Source organism: Homo sapiens, chromosome 8, assembly GCF_000001405.40.
Source record: "Homo sapiens chromosome 8, GRCh38.p14 Primary Assembly".
Lineage (NCBI taxonomy): Eukaryota > Metazoa > Chordata > Mammalia > Primates > Hominidae > Homo > Homo sapiens.
This window is the reverse complement of record NC_000008.11, coordinates 112798895-112823229: the sequence shown is the minus strand read 5'-3', so window position 1 is coordinate 112823229 and position 24335 is coordinate 112798895. Positions and strand designations below refer to the sequence as shown.

At 35.6% G+C, this 24335-nt stretch overlaps 1 protein-coding gene across 9 annotated transcripts in view; it reads left to right on the top strand.

Annotated features, from left to right (window-relative positions):
* CSMD3 (CUB and Sushi multiple domains 3) overlaps positions 1-24335 on the top strand; it is a 1214012-nt gene that overhangs the window by 613710 nt on the left and 575967 nt on the right. For all 9 annotated transcript variants that reach the window (NM_001363185.1, XM_017013010.2, NM_052900.3 and 6 more), the window contains one exon: positions 22956-23068. In NM_001363185.1, coding sequence (NP_001350114.1) covers positions 22956-23068 — 113 coding nt within the window. The remainder of the gene's footprint in view (positions 1-22955; positions 23069-24335) is intronic.

The window sequence follows — 24335 nt, the reverse complement described above, 5'->3', positions numbered from 1 at the left end:
GGTACAAAGAGGAGCTGGTACCATTCCTTCTGAAACTATTCCAGGGAGTTGAAATGGAGGGACTCCTCCCTAACTCATTTTATAAAGCCAGCATCATCCTGATACCAAAACCTGGCAAAGACACAACAACAAAAGAAAACTTCAAGCCAATATCCCTGATGAACATCAATGCAAAAATCCTCAACAAAATAGTGACAAACTGAATCCAGCAGCTCATCAAAAAGCTTATCCCCCACAATCGAGTCAGCTTCATCCCCGGGATACAAGGCTGGTCAATCATATGCAAATTAATAAGTGTAATCCATCACAAAAGAGAACCAATGACAAAAACCACATGATTATCTTAATAGATGCAGAAAAGGCCTTCAATACAATTTGACACCTCTTCATGTTAAAAACTCAATAAACTAGGTATTAATGGAACATATCTCAAAATAATAAGAGCTATTTATGACAAACCAACAGCCTATATCACACTGAATGGGCAAAAGCTGGAATCATTCCCTGTGAAAACCGACACAAGACAAGGATGCCCTCTCTCACCGCTCCTATTCAACATAGGATGGTTGAAGAGAAAGAAATAAAGAGAGGAAATAAAGAGAAATAAATAAAGAGAGTAAGTCAAATTGTCTCTGCAGATGACATGATTCTATATTTAGAAAACCCCATTGTCTCAGCCCCAAAACTCCTCAAGCTGGTAAGCAACTTCAGCAAGCTCTCAGGATACAGAAGCAATGTGCAAAAGTCACAAAAAATCCTATACGCCAACAATAGACAAGCAGACAGCCAAATGATGAGTGAACTCCAGTTTACAATTGCTACAAAGAGAATAAAATACTTAGGAATACAACTTACAAGGGATGTGAAGGACCTCTTCAAGGAGAACTACAAACCACTGCACAAGGAAATAAGAAAGGAAATAAACAAGTGAAAAAAAAGATTCCATGCTCATGGATAGGAAGAATCAATATCGTGAAAATGGCCATACTACCCAAAGTAATTTATAGATTCAATGCTATCTCCATCAAACTACCATTGACATTATTCACGGAATTATGGAAAACTACTTTAAATGTCATATGGAACCAAAGAAGAGCCTGTATAGCCAAGACAATCCTAAGCAAAAAGAACAAAACTGGAGGCATCATGGTACCTGACCTCAAACTATACTACAAGGCTACAGTAAATAAAACAGCATGGTACTGGTACGAAAACAGTCATATAGATCAGTGGAACATAACAGAGAGCTCAGAAATAACATCACACATCTACAGCCATCTGATCTTCAACAAACCTAACAAAAACAAGCAATGGAGAAAGGGTTTCTTATTCAATGAATGGTGCTGGGAAAACTGGCTAGCCATATGCAGAAAACTGAAACTGGACCCTTTCCTTACTCCCTATACAAAAATTAACTCAAGATGGATTAAAGACTTAAATGTAAAACCCAAAACCATAAAATCTCTAGAAGAAAGCCAGGACAATGCCATTCAGGACACAGGCGTGGGCAAAGACTTCATGACAAAAACACCAAAAGCAATTGCAACAAAAGCCAAAATTGACAAATGGGATCTAAATTAACTAAAGAGCTTCTGCACAGCAAAGTAAACTATCATCAGAGTGAACAGGCAACCTAAAGAATGGGAAAAAAGTTTACAATCTTTCAATCCGACAAAGATCTAATATTCAGAATCTACAAGGAACTTAAAAAAGTTTACAAGAAAACAACAAACAACCCCATCAAAAAGTGGGTCAAGGACATGAACAGATACTTCTCAAAAGAAGACATTTATGCAGCCAACAAACATGAAAAAAAAAATCAACATCATTGATCATTATAGAGATACAAATCAAAACCACAGTGAGATATTATCTCACACCAGTCAGAAAGGTGATTATTAAAAAGTCAAGAAACAATAGATACTGGGAAGCTTGGAGAAATAGGAATGATTTTACATTGCTGGTAAGAATGTAAATTAGTTCAACTATTGTGGAAGACAGTGTGGTGATTTCTTAAGGGTCTAGAACCAGAAATACCATTTGACCCGGCAATCTCATTACTGGGTATATGCCCAAAGGAATATAAATCATTCTATATAAAGGTACATGCACACATAGGTTTATTGAAGCACTATTTGCAATAGCAAAGACACAGAACCAACCCAAATGCCCATCAACGATAGACTGGATAAAGAAAATATGGTACATATACATCATGGAATACTATGCAGCCATAAAAAGGAATGAGATCATATCCTTTGTGGGTACATGGATGAAGCTGGAAGCCATCATCTTCAACAAACTAAGAAAGAAACAGAAAACCAAACACTGCATGTTCTCACTCATAAGTGGGAGTTGAACATGTACACAGGCAGGAGAACAACACACACCAGAACTGGTTGGCGGTGGTGGTGAGTGGAGGAAGAGAGAAGAGCATTAGGACAAATAGCTAAATGCATATGGGACTTAAAACCTAGATGACGGCTTGATAGGTGCATCAAACCACCATGGCACGTGTATACCTACGTAGCAAACCTACAAGTTCTGCACTTGTATCCCGAACTTCAAGTTAAAAAAAAAAAAAAAAATTAAGGCCTCATTCCACAACCAATACCTTTTAGGCTGTTCATTCAATGGATGTAAATTTGCCCTTTAGTGAGAGTGTGAGCAATCTAGGAAGTTTTTTTTTAATCAGTTCTATTTAAACAATCATAAAACTATGAGACTATCAGGCACACAGAGAAATTCAGATTTAGCCGTTTTTGTAATTATGTATATTATGTTTTTGTGAAACTCAAAAAGAGGGCACTGGTCCTTACTATACAATTTTTAGGTAGTGAAAGGAAAACCTCTATGTATTTTAAATATAGCAATTGATTAACAATTGACCTCTTTCTTAATCAAATGACACTTCTGGGTAAGCATACCAAGCCTTTCACTTTGTTCATACCTACTTCTCATAGGGTTTAATCCATTCTCATTTGATGTCAAGTGCCTCAAATAATCTACTATATTTTTTATTATTGGTTTTGTCAGACTTCTAAATGTTCTCATTATTAAGTACATATGATACCCTTCTTTCCTTCTATATTGGAGGGCAGGAATGGAAATGTTTTAAAATGAATTTAATTATGTAATAAATAATTGAGATCAAGTAGCAGATGAGGCTAGAGGGATTGGATAATTAAGTAAATGAAATAAGACCGCAACTAATTTTTTGAAGAAGGTGATGCCAAAATTAGCTAGACAGCATAAAACCAGAAAAAGAACAAATATGTTGATGGGACATTCCCTTACATCCCAAGTGAATAGTCAAGTGGAAATAGCTGAGTTTTCTTCTGCTACTCTTAGGAAAATGAAAGAAAATAGTGTTACTTTTTTTTATATTTCCACATGACTGTTGTCATGTTGTCATTAGTTTGTGTAGTCTATCAAAGTATAAATACTTCATCATGTACAATGTCGTCACTCTGAGAAGTTATATTAATTTTGAAAAATCTGTGATTTCTAGTTTTGTTCTGTATTCTTCCATTCAAAATCAGAGAATGTGTTTCTAAAACTTTCTGTTCTCCCTCAGAAACAAAATTATACTTCTCTGAAAATGTAACTCTCTTTTCCTCAAGTAGGAATAAATATGACAGAACTTGGCTTGGGCCCACCTCCTAGAGGTGTTTTAATAGGACTGGCTGACTGGCTAAAAGATTTTACAGACTTAGAGTTGAATCAAAAGTTCCTTCGAACTCTAGGACTCTGTGATAGCAGAATTACCTGGATTTATAATCACCAAAGAAGCTGACATAAATTTGAGTGAACCTGAATTTTAAGACTTATATGATTTCTCTGCTGGAATGTGGAGGAATTGGAAAGTCCCTCTGCCAGACCCAGAGACCAATTGGCCACCCTCTCCTCTCAACTTCAACTCCATTCATCATAACCCATGTCAACCCAGCCTGCATGTTCAAAGTGTCCACTCACCCTGCAAACAGCCTTTCATTTCCTCTCAACTTCAGCTGCATTCATCATAACCCATGTCAGCCCAGCCTGCATGTTCAAACGGTCCACCCGCCCTGCAAACAGCCTTTCATTGCACCTAGGGATGCACAGGTGAGGTGTGTGTTCTACTTGTGGGATATGGACCTGGAAAAAAGGCCTATGCTGGTCCTGGTAACAGGGAATTCCGGGTACCACATACCTGTGTGTTCTAGAACAGTGCTTTGCAAACAAACAGTAAAATAGATTTGATTTTGATTTCTGATCCCTCTTGAACTGATAATTTTATAACAAGTTTCTAGAAAAAAAAGAAATAAAACACAATAAATACAAGCTCATTAATTTTCATTATGAAATTCACCAGACATAAAATTACTTTTTCAAATGGCTCTAGAAATGTTGAAAGGTAACACACAGTTTCTGTATTTATCATGTTGTTGTCTGGAAGCTACTGCAGGGTCTCAAAGGGGAGGTGGAGAAGGGACACAGATTTCAGCCAGGCAGGCACATTCCTGAGCAAGAGTTAAACTAGAGAAAGGTCAGAGGAGGGCCTTCTACAGGGGAAGAATCAGAGAAGGGGCCCATCTTGCCCACATTTCAAAACAGTACTAAACACAGGGCATGGTAAATTTTCAAAAATGTATTTTAAAACCTAAGCTGAAGGAAATGTATTTTAAATAATGCTTTTCTAACAGTTAACACTAGTTTTCATTTAGACATTTTATTCAGCAATCTCTTTACTTGTCTGTGAATTCCTTTTTGCTTTTTAAGTTTAATTCATGTGCTAGAGAGTTAATTTTGGCACCAAAATTATTTTACAAGTAAATTGATTTAAAAAGATTGAATAGCTGAAGGTAAGAACACATAGCCAAAAGAAGAAGCCATCTCATATCAAAATATTTAAGTCTTTTATTAGAAGATGACTTCAGCCTATATTCAATTTTTATGTTCTAATTATTTTAATAAACACATAATATATCACTTTGATACATATTTAACATGTTATGGAACATTCTAACATTTTCTAATTCCGTCAAAGTATTGAATTAAGTATTGTAAATATAAGGCTTTTTGTGTTTCATTTTGTTTCAGTATTTAGGTTCTAAAAGGTAAAATCAATTACTTATTCTATTCCATAAAAAAATAGTTCATAAAGTCATAACATATTCAGTAGCTAAAATACTCCTGCAAAAAAAAAATCAGTTACAAAGCATAAAAAAATATTAATTATAAAATTTCTTTTTTTATGAAGTATAAAGAAATTTTTTTGTAATTTGCTAACTTAAAAATAATTGAAATGTGCCATATCTTTTCACCTTGAGGCTTTAGCTCCAAGGAAATATTCATTACAAAGTTATGACCAATAAAATTATTTAGCAATAGAGAAAGCATTGTAATTGGACATCATACGCCATGCTAAATTTGCCATATAGATAAAAATTTCTAAAATGATGAAAATTTAAACTGCAAATTTAAACTCACAATTCAGAGATTTATTGCATCTGTCATTTGTTGTGCCATATCTATGGCCCATTTTATCTTTTCTCTCTCTCTCTCTATCTCTATTATCTCTTTCTGTATCTCTGTGTTCATTTTCACACCATTAGAGTTACTTGGAGGATGTTTTTTCCCAAAGTTTGAAATAGCATTTATTCCTGGCAACTTCAGAGTCGTCTAGTGACAAAAGTCAATAGAGATCAGAATATGAACTTGACATTTGATAATAATTCAGATAAAGGATTTGAACAATAATATTTTAATCTTTTAAAGGATATCAAAAGAACTTTGTTTCACAGATTCTTTCCCATGTGCTATTTTTACACTTACGTATAAATTCATCTGATAGTGGAAATGTATATAATTTATTGGAGAGAACTAATAGTGATGGTAATGCAATTACTGGCCTTGAGATTACTTCCAGCTCTCCAGGAGATGTTGATTATTAGTCTACCCTTTTCATCTGCATACAGCAGACCAAGAGGGTGAGACATTAATTCTACCAGATATGTGATACTCCTTCATTTTTCTGCATTTTCTTTTGCATGTGTCACTATTAGACTCATTAGATTCATGGTAACACTGTAAGAACTAAATGAAAACAAGCAACATAAAAGTTTAAAATATCTTCTATTAAGACACCTCTGAAAATTTTGTGAGTATGCACTAACGTTGGATGACATCGAATTGAGCAAACATCTTAAAGAAGGTAAAAAATGCTTGTATGGATATCTAAACCTTCTTCATTCTATCACTTTGGAATTCTGAATTCTCCAGGATAAGTTAGTACAATGTCAAATCTCATTCTCAGAAATATGTTAGTTTAGGCTAACAACACTTTTTCCTGATTATTCTCCTTTTAATTTTAAACACACACACACTTCTGGGTTAATATAATAATTTATAAATAAATTTTTTATTTATTGAATTTAATAGTATTTTAATAAATAATATTCTTACTAGCTTTATGGAAAAGATAGTTCTGTTTTCTGTTAGGCTTGTAAATAGATGACTATCATTGCTCTTAGTTTGTTGAGCCCTATATTTTGTCAGATATATACTATTGTTTTTACTATTCAGCAACATTCTTTTTTAAAATCTAGGCCCTACTCCTTTTGGCAACATACTAGTAAACATGATATTTGCCTTGAACAAATTCTTCTGCATCCAAGGAGTTATACTTTCCTAACTTTGCTTTTGACTTCAACAAATACCGACAAAGACCATGGGCTAATGAAAGAAGAGCATATACTAAATATGGCGAAAGGTGATATTTTTTAGAGATTAATTGCCACGGTATGAAAAGGGCTTGGAGAATTGACCAGTCAGACAAATTCTTAGCCCCTTGTGTTATAATTATTAAGACAAGAAAAATAAATGTTTTCTTACTGCCGTTTTCTCTATCTTGCACCCTCGCTTTCCTCTTTCACTATGCATACTTACAAACATACACACTCATCCCTTGAGGGCAGCAATCATCTTCTATTCATCTCAGATTTTCCTGAATTCCTTACAGAAAGCCTTGTGTTACTATTGTTAGGTGTTAACAGCAATTATAAAGGAAGAGGGAAAAATATTCTACTCCAAGACACATCTGCTGAGACATGTCAACAGAAAGGGTATCTTTGTAAATATTAGTCATGAGCTGTAGATATGCCATGAGCTGTAGAGCTCTGTAGTCCCACCTAGGGATTTTAGCACTCATTGATACCACTTCCAGGAAAATCAACCAAACTGATGGGAGCAGTTTTCTCATCATGTGGATGAGATTTCACATGTAGTTATCCATATGATCTGCTATAGGGCAATAATAAATATATGCTCTTGGAACGCAGAATTACTTTAGACCACAATACAAAAATAATCTTTGTCATTTTGTTTATTGGCAACAAATGACTAAATATATGGAATAATTTATTCTGTGTGGTTCATCATTATTTTTTCATTGTGATTTTTGCTACATATGTCTAATGTTAAAAAACTGATGATTTCCCTGAAAAAAGGGTTTACTTCTGTTTTGCTTGCATTTGTTTTATATATGTATTTGTTTTTGAATACATTGAATTGTTTAAAATGAACTAAAGTAATTTTTAGTTGTTTTTCCTTTTGTTCTCAGGAATATTTGCACTGTAGCAGGCATTTCAAAGGTGGCTGTAGAAGAAGAAATTAGGGGAAAATATAGAAAGAATATATAAACAAGCTGGATTTCTTCCCACAAATAATGAGTGTTATAAGCAAGACCTGATTGGAGTCTTAAATATATACAATGAAGTATCCATATTCCAACTTTGAATACAAAGATGTGTATGCTAAAGATTTGGCCTTCAAATTCAGTTTTCTAAAAATAAAACTCAATATAGAAATCTATTTGTAAAAGTAATAAGACCCATGACAAACATTATCCTACCTTATTATGCTTTTGAATTAGCCAATAAATTAAAACTTCTGAATCCTATGTCCCTAAATAAAGTTAAAACAACAATTATTGACAACTCAGCTAAGTGAACTAACATTTATATTGTCCCATTATTCCATAATGCTTTATACATTTTGATTTTAAAAACCATACATTATTCTTCCACTGCATTGGCCCACATTCTGAACTGTCACTCTACTGTGATGTGTTAGGGTTTTTTCTTTTTTTTTTTAACTTAACTTTTCTAATCATCGTCATTTTAGTGAATTTCGTGTACTTCAAATAAACATATACATTACTTTTTATAACATTGTACTAGAAGGAAAAATATTAAATGCATTTTTCATAAAAAGCGAAAGTTGCATATTTGTATAATACAAAAAATATGTTAGAACATAGGACTACAATTCTCATGTCTAATGGATGCATCCAAAGGCCTTGAGTGATTATAGAAAGTCAGGCAATAGGTCTTAAGGAATGCAGGAAATTTCACCCCAAAATAGGGCTCCCTTGGTATAATGAAAAAAAAATTTTTTTTTTTTTTTGAGATGGAGTCTTGCTCTGTTGCCCAGGCTGGAATGCAGTGGTATGATCTCAGCACACTGCAACCTCCACCTTCCAGGTTCAAGCAATCCTCCTGCCTCAGCCCCCCAGTAGCTGGGATTACAAGCACACACCACCATGCTGGACTAATTTTTCTGTTTTTAGTAGAGATGGGGTTTTGCCATGTTGGCCAGGCTGGTCTCGAACTGCTGTCTTCAGGTGATCCACTCACCTCGGTCTCCCAAAGTGCTGGGATTACAGGCATGAGCCACTGCACCCAGCCATAATGAGCATTTTGAATTAAATGGCCTTAGAGATCAAGTGCTGGAAGAGACTTTTCCCTATATCTACATAAAGATAAGACTGACCCACTAAGGAGAACAATTGTTCTTGTTTCCCTCCCTGTTATTTTATTAAACATTATAAGAGAGAAGACCAGGAATGTAAGCACACCTGAACACACCCTTTTTCAATACAATGACTGTCTCCAAAGATCATTTAAATTCCAAAAAGAACTATTTACAAGTTATTTTAACTTCTGTTCCTCTATTCAATCATTCTCCCTAGTGATTACTTATTGCCCCTGAATCAATTTCCTCTTCTCTCTGTCCCCTAACCTGTTTTGCCAGGATCCAAGTCCCCATTCTTTCTGTAACCTCAAGATGATATATAAACTTCTGGAACTCACTTCGACATCAGGCAATCACTCTGTGATTCTCCTTGTGCTCACAGTTAAATAAATGTGTATGCCTATTTGATAAGTGCAAGAGGCAGATAAGGGGGAAGTTCCCCAAAGCATTTCCAACTGGCTTGTGCACTGGGAGGACGGGGCGAAGCCTTGGGACATTTGCACCATTTGCAGGGGGTGGAGCCTGGCCTTTCCTGTCCCAGGATGGCAACGTGGGATTCAGTTGGTCAGGTGAAGAACCACAGGACTCCATATCATTTTGCTGACTTGTTTTTCCTTTTTGCCCAATAAATTCCTCTACTCACCCTTATAAGAGGAGGTGCCAGCTGGGCTTTCTGGGTCGAGTAGGGGCTCAGAAACTGTGAAACTCACTCATTTCCTGCATCAGGACTTACTTTGGTCCTGAATGAACACTATTGAAGATAAATGCTTAAAATATTCCTAACACCAGGATTTGTGCATGTATTTTCTTCCCCAAGAAAGCTATAAACAGCGAAAATTTTGCTGTAAGTTTCCCTGTATCCTTCTCTCCCTCTCTCCCTTCCCCCTCCCGCAAAACTAAAGTTAAAAGTAATGTTAACTGCCCGTTTTCCTGTGACCAGTGGGCCTTATCTATCCTCCCAATTTGAATTCCTTGTGAACATACTTTGTAAAGTCCTGTACAATCCTATCTCTTTTGCCATGCTGTTGCCATAAAGTAGATAAAACCTAAGTTGCAATTCCGGTTTTCCTCAAGATCTAAGACATATCACAAATGGTTAATTGCCTTTGTTTTTCACTCTGGTAACATATTGCCCCACGTATTTCCTGCCTTAAAGAGTTTAAAAGGCAATCACATAATCTAACTCTGGCTACCCATTCGTTTGGGACCCCTTCCATGCTGTGGGAGCTTTGTACTTTCACTCTGCTCAATAAAGCCTACAGCTTTTTCTCTCTCTTGGTCCATGTCTCTATCACTCACTGTGGTCAGCCGCCACACCAATTCTTTGGCGTGGCTAGGCAAGAACCTTAGGCGTTAACACTTAGATGTCTCTATGAGCCCAATCTTTCCTGGTCGTGTGACAAGAACTCGTTTTTTTCTACAACATTTTCTCTTATTAATCTGCCTTATTGTGAGTTGATTTTTCAATGAACTTTTGAAGTGGGCTAAGGCCTTTCATCTGCACAAGGCTAATAAAAGTGTAATAGATTATGTTCTTTATTTTATATACTATTTCAATTCTTGAAAAATATTTTTGAGCGCACCTATTTAGGACTTTATCTCATTTTAGCAGGAAGTGACTGACTAGGAAGACTAGAATGAACTATGAACACTGAAGTTACTCAGCCTGTAAATAAACATGTATTAAAGAAGCATTTTTTAAATTAACAAATAATACATTCAAAAAGATGTATTAAATATTGATACAACTGTCTGTGGCAGCAAATCTGTTCGGGACTGCAGCAGCTCAATTCTTGCCTCCTCAGAAGAAATAATTCAACAGAGAGGCATAAAGCAGAGTGAGAGACCGAGGCAAATTTTAGAGCAGAAGTGAGTTTATTAAAAACTTTAAGGGCAGGAATGAAAGGAAGTGAAGTACATTTGGAAAAGGGCCAAGCAGGCTACTTGAAAGATTTAAGTGTGTGTTTTGACCTTTGACTTTGGGTTTTATATGTTGGCATGCTTCCAGGGGGTTTGCATCTCTTCTCCCCAGGTTTTCCTTGGGGTGGGCTGTCTGCATGCACAGTGGCCTGCCAGCACTTGGGATGGGCCACATGCCCAGTGTGTTTACTGAAGTTCTATGCTTGTGTACTTGAGGCATTTTTCCTCTTACCAGTCAAGTGTTACAGTTAAACTCCAATGTTTTACCTCTTAGCATACATGTTTAAGCCCACTCACCCAACTCCTGAGATCTTATCAGGAAGCTGTTGATCACCAGTTTCAGGTGTTTCTATCTATTGGGAGACTGCCTTTCCCTCCTGCTGGCTGCATCAATTAGATAGACAGTTTAATAACTGCCTGGCCATCACCTGATGATCACCTAATATTCCTGGTGTGGGGAGGCCCTTTCCTGCCCTGCTCATGTCTGACTACTTACTGTAACACAGCTATTTAAAGACTCATTTGAGAGTCTTACAAGAATATGACTCTTTCCTCTGTAGCCCACAGCATCCTTTACTGTCAGGGTTGAAGGTTTCTACCATTTGAATCTAAACCAAGGTGTTTGAGAGGGAGCTGAGAAGAACTGGCCATTGAGGTTTTATACAAAGAGCAGGGTTTTCAGTGAGACATCAAGTATTGAGAAAATATAATTAAAATAAAATCACCTACCAACCCAATGAATCCGCTTCACAAAATGTAAAAAGAAATGAAACAGCTTTTCTGTTAAATAAAAATTAAGCCAGATTGTGATCTGCATCAGAGGCAATCTGTAGAGGAGATTTCAAAAAAGAGAAACCTCACCCTTTTTATATAGCTTGACAGATATAATCCATTACACACATGTTAATTGTCTTTATCAAAAGAAAAATATACACTTCTATCTTTATAATAATCAAGAAGTTACATAATGGAGCCAAGTGCCTAGGCTTTAACACTCAGTGAAACAGGAAGACAGGATACAATCTTCCTTGATGTTCTTATTTCAAAAAGATAGCTCCAAGGCCTCTAAGAAGGACATTCTTAGAATGTAAAACTTGTAAGTGTTTTCTTTAGCTTTTAAAACATTTACACATATCTGAAAGAAAAAGAAAGCATCTACAACTTTAGGTTTTCTATAGGAAATTCTAAAGAGAAGGGGGGTTGGGGGAGTTCTCTTACCTTTATAATTTCAAGAAAATTTTTACATTTTTTTAAAGATTTGCATTTATACTTAGAAGTTTTCTTTTTTGTTACTATTTTATAACACGATAATTATTAAATTATGTGTATTGCTGTTTCTACTCTTCTCTGGGCAGTTTGCAGTTATCAAAATATATAGCAAATCCAATGTAAAATACAAAGCAAGGTAATTATCAGAAATATAATTGAATTAATTTATAAATTTATTGTATTATTAGCCTTGAAGGAATAACCTTTAAATATTTAAGTGAACCAATAGTGAATAGTTCAAGCAGATTCTTGATTAGCCATGAACAAAAATTCTCCATCATCCATTAATTTTATAAACTGTTGTGGTATCTACATTGCTTATACTTTCAAATAATTATCTATTTGAATATTATTTTTGTAGATCCTCATGACATCTTACTAAACCAAGCCTAAGGTGTAACTTAACCCTAGAACTCAAATATCTAAATTTTTAAATAAAATATTTTTTGGAGGGCCAAAATACTTATTCAGAGTTTTCATCAATCACGTAAGTAATATTACATTTATAAGATAATCTAGGACTTTTAGCATTTATTTCATTTTTCCAATTTTTTTGGAGATGGAAAACACAACCATTTTCTAGTATCCTTATGAGGCACCTCTTAAGGGTACAGATTGAACTTCCAGTATTTAATATACATGACTTTAATTGTTACAATTCTTGTGGAAAAAGCCTATAGGTTTCACATAAGCCCAAATCAATAATTTAATTATAATAACAGTCAATTAAATCTCTGCAAATAATAGACATTTACTTTTGTTTCTATATTGATATTTGGACTGGAGAGACTTGTGTCCCAAAGCTAATTAACTTATATTAGACTTATCATTTGCAGTCTTACCTATAAACGTCAGATTTGTCTGTTAATTAGATGTTTTTCATTCTAAATTATCCTTCCATTTAAATCAGTTAAAAAATTGTGTGTGCCTGTATGTGTGAAATTTATGGATTAATATTTAGACACATATTAGTTACTTTTACTTTGGGATTATTAAAAAATTAGTAAGAAGATGGTCTCACTTTTACTCTGCCAATAATTGGACTGTTGAACTTATAAGCAGATCATACCTATTCTTGTGTAAAAGAAAAATTGCACCAGACAAGTCAAACAAACAAGACTTTTCCTAAAACTATTGCAGTAGGGGAGAGAGACTGAACTCAACTCTGCTGAAACAAAAAGTGGGAGGGTTTTTAAGCAGTGGAGTGAGTTAGTGGAAAATCACTGGAAAGCTTTAGATGAGAGATTAGTCAATGTATACAGACCATCTGCGTTTCAATTGTTTCTTGTTGAAGTTAAGCTCCTATCCTCCCATAGAGACTGGGAGACAGGTGCTACCTCCTTCAATGATTACATTTCAAAGGAATGGCTTGGAGGTTCTTGAGAAAGATATTCTTTGTTGAATATTTACATCCAAAGGGGTAGAGAATGGATTTATAATTGCAAGTTTTTTTTTAACTTAAATGCTTTAAGAAACAGTAGGTCAGGAACCTGTAGTCAGAAAGAAACCCACCTAAAATTTTCTAAAGTTTAGTTAGGGTGACTGGAACATTAAGCCCATCTTAATCACTGGGAGTCCAATTCCTAGCTGTTTGGAAATAAGTGATTGTGGGAACTATTATTACCAGGAGTACACAAAGAAAAAGTAGTGTAACAAATAACATTTTTTTAATAAAATGTGGTTCTTAAAGTAATTGAAATAATGTTACTGTGAATAGGACAACAAAGCAGTCTATGAGCATAAGCTCACTAGAATTTCTTCTTTCAGTTGAGTTCAGAGCCAAAATTACTTATCTAGAAAATTTTTTTGAGTCCTTTGTAGGAACTATTGTCAAATTCTTCTGAGGTGCTGGCTCCACATGAATCTGCGTGAGATTTTCTTTCACTTTGCTAGCCATGTGGATCATCAAGAGCACTTGATCCTTCTAGCACAGGATCAGCTAATCTTACCTCTGGAATACTTTCAGATAAATCGAATCTCCTGGTCAATAGGGTGGCAAATTTCTTTCAACAGGTCCTTCCAGGTCCTTATGGTTTTGTGTCTTAGGGATTCTAGGAAAGAAAGAAGCACCTTGAAGTATGAACATGATTAAGAGAGAATTCAGTTAAATTGGGCACAGGACATGGTTTCTGACTGAATTTCATAGGTCTGGCAACCATTAGTTCAAAGGGGAAAAATATCACGCTTGTTTGCAGATGTCATTCTAATTTTTGACAATGCTAACAGTAAAATGCTAGGCCATTTTTATCCAGTATATTGCCTAATCTCAGCAAATGAGTTCCATTCATCTTATAGAAATCTATAAATAATTGCATAATTACTAGGTGACAGTGATAATAATGTTGTAACCGAGCGAGTTGTAGAGAAACGCCACACTCTGAGACTAATTCAGGAGTCCTTTTATTGCTGGCGACCGAGAGACGGCTAGCGCTCAAAATTCTCTTGGCCTCGAAGAAGGGGCTAGATTTTCTGTTATACTTTGGTTTAGAAAGGGGAGGGGGAGCCTAGCTGAAGCAATCTTACAGAAGTAAAACAGGCAAAAGAAGGTTAAAAAGATAAATGGTTACAGGAAAACAAACAGTTCCAGGTGCAGGGGCTTTAAATCCATCGCAAGGTGATAGACGCGGGGCTTTGGGTGCTATCAACCGGACACAAATGCGGGGGCTTAGGGTACTATCGACTGGGCAAATTCCTGGAAACTGTGGATATAGCTTGCCACAGTATCTTATCAGTAATTACATTCTTTGATGGGCTGGGAGTCAGCTTGCACAAGTTAAGTCCTTGAAGAAAAGTGGGGGTGGGTAAGGGGCTGCAAGTGAAGGAACCAAAATGGAGTCTGTCCGGCTCTCTCAGCTAAGGGAGAGGCAATTCCAGTTAAAACAAGGTAGGATATCACAATAAGATGACTTCCTTTCTCTGATTCATTATGCTTCTGTAGCCCCAAAGTGGAAATCATGGGTATTAAAAGATACTTTACCGGGCTTGCACATTCACATTTAAAGACGGAAAGACTTCAGACCATCCAAACATCATATATACTATAACTAGACAAAATATCTTACTTTTTGTAGACATTAATTCTATGAAATCCAACTGCCACTTAATTTCTGGGAAAGCTGGTTGGGGAAAACTGCCACATGTACCTTAGGAATAGACTGTAAATAATTCTTCTGACAAACAGCTCATCTCTTTAATATTTTTGGAATAATTTTATTTTTATGTAAGTACAGTAATAGTCTGGGGTCTTTAAAGTCCCCATTTTACTTAGATGAGTATGTCAATGACACACTATTAATCAAATGAATAATAAGTATGGTATAGGGGTTACTTTATTAGGTAATTTTCATAGTTCAGTCAAATGTTTTATCCTCCTTTATAATTCATTCATCAGTTTCCTTTTGTGAAGCATATTTTTGAAAATTAACAAAAGTTTCTTGTATTAAAAGTGAGGCTTCCAAGTTTACAATCTGTTACATTTTAACAGTTGCTTTTGCAGCTCTGTCAGCAAAATAGTTGCATTAAAAATTGTGTCATTCTGCTCTATGTGAGCTCTACAAATGGTTACTGATCTGACAGGACAGTTGTACAGCTTCTAAAAAATCAGCTATCAGTTTTCCATGAGATATTTTACTTCCCCTCAAAGTTGAGAAGCTTCTATTTCTCCAAATTTGCTCTCCTATTTGATGGACACCAAACATGTATTTCCTACCTACCTACCTACCTACCTACCTACCTACCTACCTACCTACCTACCTATCAAGAATTGCAACTCCAGTAACTTCTATTAACTGTGCTGCTTGTGTCAGCTTAATTCTAGGCAAAGCATAAGCTTTCAAAATGTCGTATAAGAGGTCATCATAGCATACAAAACCTTAAATAGGGCCATTTTTATCCCAAGTACATGTCCACCAGTAAATATTATTAAATTGTCATTGCTAAAAACCACAGGCTCTTTGGCTCCCTATGTAATGGAAATTAACATGAGGCCCAGCAGATTTCCCAGACAAGGTATTTATTTCAGGGCTTGTGCTTAAGCACTAGGGAGACGGCAGAGTCACAAGGGTCCTCCAGCTGGCTCTCCAAAAAAAGCCAGTAGGGATTTTCTTTACTAGGTAACTCATGGGAATTGACATCAGGGGTAAGGTACACAGACTGTTCTGTGCACAGCACATAAGTGGTAGAGTACATGGGTCAGCATATCTTATTGTGATGGTTATCTTGAGCAGTGGGCCACCTGGTGGTCTGGCCAGAGGCAACAGGGCTGTAAATCAATTGTGCAGCATTCCTTCCCAAGGTGGGAAACTGCAAACTTGGTTTGATTTCGAATCTCCTAAGGCCAGTTTCTGGAATTATTTAAACAAACGGCATGGTTACACATTATGAGAGCACAGAAGAAGAACATAGAATGGCTTTTTTCCTTGTATGACTACTAACAGGTATGTTATCAGTGAAGTAGTGGTATAGGTTTGTGATCGGGGGAATGCAAGAAAGGATGTTCTAGTGGAGGTGAGCTGAAGCGAGGCCCCATCCTTTCTCTGCCTCATTACAGACAAGAATATCAGATAAATTCATCAGAGCTTAGTGTCTTCTCTTACCCCTGTAATACAATCATGATCATCTATTTGATCAGGATCTGGTAAAAGAGTAACATGATTTAGGATATTGCATCTCCTAAGCACAATACTGGGATCAATGCTTGTTCTTAACTAGTCTGTTGGCATACCCACACATTCTGGATTTTTTGCACTTGTAAGATAGCTGTCACAGCATGTGGGACGCGCATATAAGTGACTGCAGGTAAGGGCTTGAGCCTTTTAAAAAGTTTATATGCTACTTCCACAGAATCTTGTCATCAACAGTGCCACTACCTCCAAGGAAACTGAGAAATTTGTTATTAATGTGTCATCTATTCCCAACTTTTGAGTTAAAATTCCAAAAGTAGCCGCTTTATTTTCATAGCAAAGCAAGTGGAAAGTCTTTGCAAAATTTGGAACTCCCAAAGCTTATACTATAGCCAATTTTAATTGGAACACTTCTTCAGATTCTACTGACCAAATAAAAGGATCCGAGGAATTATTACACAGTTATTTCATTAGAGTTTTGGCCACTTTACAAAACTGAAATTCACTGTCCACAATATTCTACTAGTCCTCAAAATAGTTTTTTTTTTTAAGGCCTACATAATGCCTTCAGCATCAACAGATGCTCTAAATATTTTATCTCAGTTTGGCAATTTTGCAATTTGTCTATTGAAGGCTTATGCCCTTGTGAAGGGGGAGTTGTAACAAAGCTGAAGTGTCAGTTTTTTATTGCTCTTTAGTTTCTGAGCCTACCAGCAAACCATCAACATGCTGATGACTTACAGATCCCCCACTGGGACAAATTTCTTTAAGTTTTTTCTGTAAATGATTAGAGAAATGGAAGGAGAGTCAGGAAATCCTTGAATACTTTTTCATAAATACTGAACTCCTTTCTAAGTAAAACAGCAAACAGCAACAGAAATGTAAACTTGTTTACTAGAGCAATGAGAAAAAACAGATCATAGATAAATCGGAGAAAAAACTTTGCAGAGGATGGTAGCAAAGTACTAAAGTTTCTGATGTTAGAAACTAAAGGCGTGAATGGAGCAATAAATTTATTTTCTTCTTTAAGATCTTGTACACAGGTCAATCATCTTTATCACATTTACCTTCTTTCCTTTCTGGAAGTATGGCAGTATTAATATTACAGGGTGAGTGTCTTTATAAAATTACCACTTGTCTTTGAATTTTTTTAACTGTGTTTATTTCTTCTAGTAGAGCCTTTGACAAAGGGTATTGTTTGACCATGGCCATTGCTTATGTTTTTTGTAAAGAATTTCTATTGATTCTACACCTCAAACTAAACCACTTGCTAGGGCCCAAAGTGATGAATTGACTTGTTTCAGTTCAGGGCACTTATCCAGCACAGTGTGAGAAAGCTGCTTTTCGGAATACCCCTTTTCTTTCAGAAGGTACACAGTAATCAGATTCCTTTTATTCCAGGGAGTTCCACAGACACTCCCTATGGAATATAGAATATGGTAGTCTTTAATTTTCCCAGCAGGTCTCCCTGCAATAGGTTTACAGGAGGATCAGGAGAAAACTAAGAAAACCTATTCCCAATATGAGGCCCTATTTGTGTGGGAACTGCAGAAGAAAAAGAGCAAGTAGAAGGCTAACTCAAAATACCAACAACGTGTGTTCATTAACACCAGATGGAAAGTAAGACTTTTCTGGGGAAATCACAGAATAAGTAGCACCAGCAACTACTAGAAAATGCACACCTGGAATCCCAGCACTTTGGGAGGCTGAGGCGGGCAGATCACGAGGTCAAGAGACTCAGACCATCCTGGTCAACGTGGTGAAACCCCGTCTCTACTAAAAATACAAAAATTAGCTGGGTGTGGTGGTGCACACCTGTAGTCCCAGCTGCTTAGGAGGCTGAGGCAGGATAATTGCTTGAACCCGGGAGTTGGAGGTTGCAGTGAGCCGAGATCGCGCCAATGCACTCCAGCCTAGTGACAGAGCGAGACTTCATCTCAAAAAAAATAAAATAAAATAAAATAAAATAAATGCAATGAGTTAGCATGAGAGAAAGTTATTGAAATGTACGTATCATCAGTTCCCACATCTGAGATCCCCTCAATCTGTCAGTTTTAGGTCATTCCCAAATTATTTCCCAGCCTTCTGGGCTTTCCTGATTCCCTTATTTCTGCAGTTGCTGTATCCTCTGGATTCTCTTTTCTCCAGTCCCGCCTCCAACATCTGGCTTCTCGCAGTATGGCATATGGTTTTGTTTTCTTTCTTTGCTCACTCTACAGGCTGGCCAGAATAGGGGTTATGCCTTTTACTAAATAGTTCTTACTGGATAATTAACATATCAGTTTTTTTTTTAATTTATTTTCTTCTTCACATTTCTCTAGATTGTCCCAAAACTAAGTAACTGCTGCTAACATTTGAATCTGTCCTTGCCATCCTAATACCCTTCCTCTAATTTGAATTTGGATAGTCATCAAAGGACCTGAGACAAAAATTTTGAACTACCCTTGGATCCATACCGGTAGATTCTGAGAAAGCCTCAACAAACTGCTAATGGAAATCAATGGCAGACTCCCTTGTCTTTCGGATACACCATTGCAGTTTCACGCAGCTCACTTTTAGAGGAAAGATTTCGAGTACAGCTACAAGGAGTTACTTTCAGTGAGTCTCCAAATCTCTTAGTTATCCCTTATTTGTGGAGGGTGATGAACAGTTATCTACCTCTTGGTTCAATGGGTGATCTTCTGGTCCCCAGTGTGCTTGTTCCATCACATGAGTGGAGTCTGCTGATTGCAGAACTCCACACTGTATCCTGTGCAAATCTCCATGCCCGGGACTGTAAACTGAAAACATGCTGCAGAGGATGCCTGCAAACTTCTGGGAAGCAGGGAAAAGAAGCTTTTATTTGAGATATATCAGCTGGCAAGGAGGTCTGTATAACTTCTCAATGGCATCAGCTTCACTGGTGATCAAATAAGAGCTGGTCTTTCTCACATTGTGACAAGATAAATGTAGAATTATATGACTTTTTGGCTTATTTTCCATGTTACTGTTTATTAGACTAAGACTATTTTTTTTCCAAATAGCAAGTGAGACCACTCTACATCTTTTTGTCTTCATGTGGGGACAGTCTTTTATACAAGTTCCCAATTATTCCCCAAGCACGTTCCTTCATAATTTCTGCTTTCCTAAATACATGAAATATAAATGATAAGTGACTTTTGGGGGCACAGTATGTGCTAAAACATTGAGTAGGCTCAGGGTTAGGGCATGAGGCACACAAATCTGTTTCCTCAAACAAGGCAGATAATTCATTATCAGCGAAAGAAGTTGTGGCCTTGTCCTTTGTAGGGAAATACACTAACTAGGAGAACTGGAGGTCTAAAACACCATTGCTTTGATCTTCTCAGGAGTCTACTAAGGCAGAGAAGGATAAAGAGACACAAGGGATGCAGAAAGAGCAGAGATAGCAGAAAAAGGAAGAAGAATCAATGAAAGTGCCTTTAATTTATCCATTTCCTCTTCCATTCTTCTCAATCTTTCCTTCTAGTTATGCAGATCTTTTTAAGTTTCCACCAAGAATAATATGTATCCAATAAATGCCAGCAGTTCATTTGCTGGGGATGAGGTCAAAGAATCATAACAAATTCTGAAAGGTTTGGTACTTGTATGTATTCCAAATATGACAGAGATATTAGCTGTTTAGGAGAAAGAATTGCAGGCAATATCCTTGGCTTCCCCTATTTTTCCACCATCAAAGTTAATTGTAATCCTGATGGGATTTGAGTCCAGATTACCCATGCATACTCATTAATAAAATTTAAAATTTTAAATTTAAATTAATAAATTTTAAATTAATAAAATTTGAGTTTGGAGAGAGTGGTCTATCCAGATACTATTTCAAAAAAGCAAAGATCAAGAAGGGAGAACTTTTATAATTATAATTATAATATGGCTGCTGTGGGGTCTACTCAATTCAAAACTACCGTTCATATCCCAATCCTCTTTACCAAGTAGTTGGGGAAATGTGATTAAAAATAAAATCTTTTGCCAGCTCAGTAAAAGCTCTCCATAAAATGGAGGGAAAAATGAAACAGTTTTTCTGTTGAATAGGATTAAACCAAACTGTGATGTGCATCATAGGAAATCTGCTAAGGAGATTGCAAAAAAGAGAAATAATATATAGCTAGGAATATACAATCCATTGCATACATGTTAATTGCCTTCATCAAAACAAAAAATAAAACATTTCCTATCATTATGACAAGCAGGAAGTTAAATCAAAGAGCTAAGTACTAAGTACCTAGGCTTTAACTCCCCAGAAAAGTAGAGACAGGGCATCATCCTCTTTGATGTTCACAGTTTAAAGAGGTGGCTCCAAGGCCACCAAGAGAGAAATTCCAGGAATGAAAAACTGGCAAAAGTCTCATTTAACTATTAAAATATTTTGATACATCTAAAATAAATGGAACTTATAATTTCAAGTTTTCTAAAAGAAATGCTAAAGAGAAGTTGAGGGGAGTTTTAATTTTTGACATCAGAAAATTTAAAAATATATATATTTTATTATTATTTTTAGATGACATATACCCTTACACCAGCAATGAGTTGGGAACTAGGTGAAATCAGGGCAATAGGATAAGTTAGTAAGGGAACAATTTAGCTTGCAAGTGTTAGTTGTTCTTCATGAACTGACAAAATACCATTCTAGAAGTTTCAGGATAATAGAACAGTTCAGGATTATGAATGTTATAGGAGGATGTAAAAAAGAGCAATACTTCAATTTTCCCAGAAAAACAACTCTTAGTATTCTCTTTGAGGTAGTTTGCTGGTATGTTTGATATGGTATAGCTGATGTACATGCTATGTAAATATAAGCTCTCATTCCCGTTTAATAATGGGTTTACTTTACTTTCTATTCTGCCTCCAAGCTGGAGTGTTTACCCTTTCCCATAAACCTGCACCTGCCTCTCTACAGTAGCTCAAAAAACTGCTACCTAAGAATCACCAATTTGAAAGTTCACATGCCCCAAAATTTAATTAAAAGATGTTTCAAATGATTATGTGTATATATAGACAATATATATGTGTGAGTTTGTTTTATATTATGGTAATTTAAAATGGTTTTTGGCAGGAAGAAGGAAATGAAGATAATCTGAAGTTCCATGATGCATTATGGTATCTTGGTATCTTATGGTGTTCTTCAGTGTAATATATAATCCCATAATTAAATAATAGTAGTTTACCAAGTTTCTTTGTGACAAATTCCCATAAATCCTGTAACACTGGCCACTGGTTAGATACTTGTACTGCAAATGAGGTTTGTTTTAATAGTTGACTACGCACAGGGCATTTTGCTGCCATAGTCACTTCCAGGATATGGTCAACTACACTGCCCTCTGCTGGTGTATTCATAGTAGAGCCACTATTTAAGAGACTAAACACTCTCGTAGGTTTTTACAATGAAAGGAAACTTTATACTTTCCTGATGTAATTTTCCAGCAATCCTTATGGTTTTAGCAATAAAGTAGGCAAACATTCAGTATTTTCTTCCTTTGGAAACCTGTCTTTCTGTATATAATTTAGAATCTCTTATCAATGTGGACATTTACTCTGCAGTGAATCCATTTTTTCCTCTTTCCTATTCTTGATGGACTTCCCCGCAACCTAAGGTCTTATTTACTAATTTGCTTTCATCCTTCTAATGACCTTTGGCTTCAGTTCTAATATGCAATTACAATATCATTGATGATAGACAAAACGTGAAGTAATTTCCCTTCTTATGGTTACAAAACTGTGCATTACTGAATGAGGGATTAGTAATGAATGGATACAGTTATGCTGCATCAGATTTGCAGCATATTTCTTTAAATAAAACTATTTACAGAAAAACATATGTGACATGGGCAGCCTATAATGTAGGTACTATATTTTAAGGCTTGTGTATTCGACATCAGTATTGCAAAGGGTTCGGTTATACTCTTGGCCACTTTATTGTTTTGCACAGAAATATTTTAACAATATTTCTCTAGAACAAAGTTCTGTGAAACTGGGAATGTTAAGATATATTTGTGGTGTTAAAAATACTTGAATATTTGTATAGATCCTCCTTTTCTTTTCAGTTCAAAAGACAAGTACTGTGTAGGAGTTTTTGATGGTCTAAAATATCATGACCTTGCCTCAGGAACATGAAAGATCTTTCCTAGTTAAACACAGAATAATATTTTTATAATAACCTTGATCACTAAATTGTGTAGTTTTTTCTTCTGTCACATCAACACATACTCCTCTATGTTTATCTGACTTTTTTTTCTAGCAAAGAAAGTATTGAGAAACACATCTGTCTTATAATTTGTATGCAGAGGATGTTTTAATAACCCATCTCTCCCTTCTTTGTCCATCTCTTTTTAGGCTGACTGGAAGCTTTGTACCAGACTTGATAGTGAGCATGAGTAGCCAAATGTGGCTGCACCTTCAAACGGACGAAAGTGTTGGATCTGTTGGTTTCAAGGTTAACTACAAAGGTAATGATTAATTTCTACATAGGAAATGTTATCTTAATACCACCAGAGAATATTTTTAAATTCACGTTTAATTGCATCTACAAAATTAAAAGTTTTGCAGAACACATGCTACATTTCAACAAAGATCATTTCCTCCTTAATTTAACTACAAATGTTAATTACACTTATCTTTAAATAAAATGAGTTTTTCCTTTAAAATGTGTCTATTTTGCATACCTCATCTTTCTCCCAGTATATTATACTATCCTTGTGTTTCAATCACTGTAGACTCCTAGCCTTCCCCAAAATAGACATGTGATTTTATGTACTTTAAGTAATTTTCCTGGCAAAGATTCTACTAATTATTAAATACTTAAATATAACAGTAAAGGTCTGAAATCCCTAAATATTCCAATGTACAAATCTTTTTTTGTAATCTATCAAACATATAAATATAGCTCACAAATTTGTGAAATTGCTTTTGCCCATCCCAGTGTCAGTAAAGATACAGATCAATGATTAACTATGTGTGTTTAACAAAATATTTTATTCTAGTTTCATTTATCAGAAATAGATGCAAGCATGTGAGGTCATAGATATCTTCCACACATGTTGGACCTTGATTAAAACCAATACATACACACAATGTGCATATTAGAAATGCAAATTTGCAATTCTGACTGAAAAAATTACTAATAAGCTCAATTAAAAATCTATTTTTTAAAAACAAAAATATACAAGAGATCATCAGAATGTTATGTTGCTTGAATTATCATTACTATTGTGGTAAAAATTATTATTTTCTATCTTACCAATTAAATAATTACTGTGAAAAATTCTTTTACTTGCATAATAATTTTCAATTAGAATTTTCTCTTACAAACACTGTCATGCTTTTGATTCTGGACACATGAAAATGAATGCATGATGTTGTCAGAGAGACAGAACACATTCATTCTGTGTTTTTTTTTGTGTGACTAAATTTGGTACTGTATTAATTTGAATAGTTCAAGAAATCTATGTAAATGCCAGTTTATTAAAAAGGTTAGCTTGATTATAGTTTTAATATATTCCTCCTCAATTTAAAATCCACCTCTATCCCCAGTAAATAAAACAAGGTTACAAAATTTAAAGAACAATTGGCTTATGTTACATGTATTTATCTGTCTTTTTTTTCCGGCAACTTGTATTTTACATGCAGGGGGTCTGTGTGCACATTTGTTACTTGGAAATATTGTGTAATGCTGATTTGGAGTACAGATCCTCTCACCTCGTCATACTTCTTGAA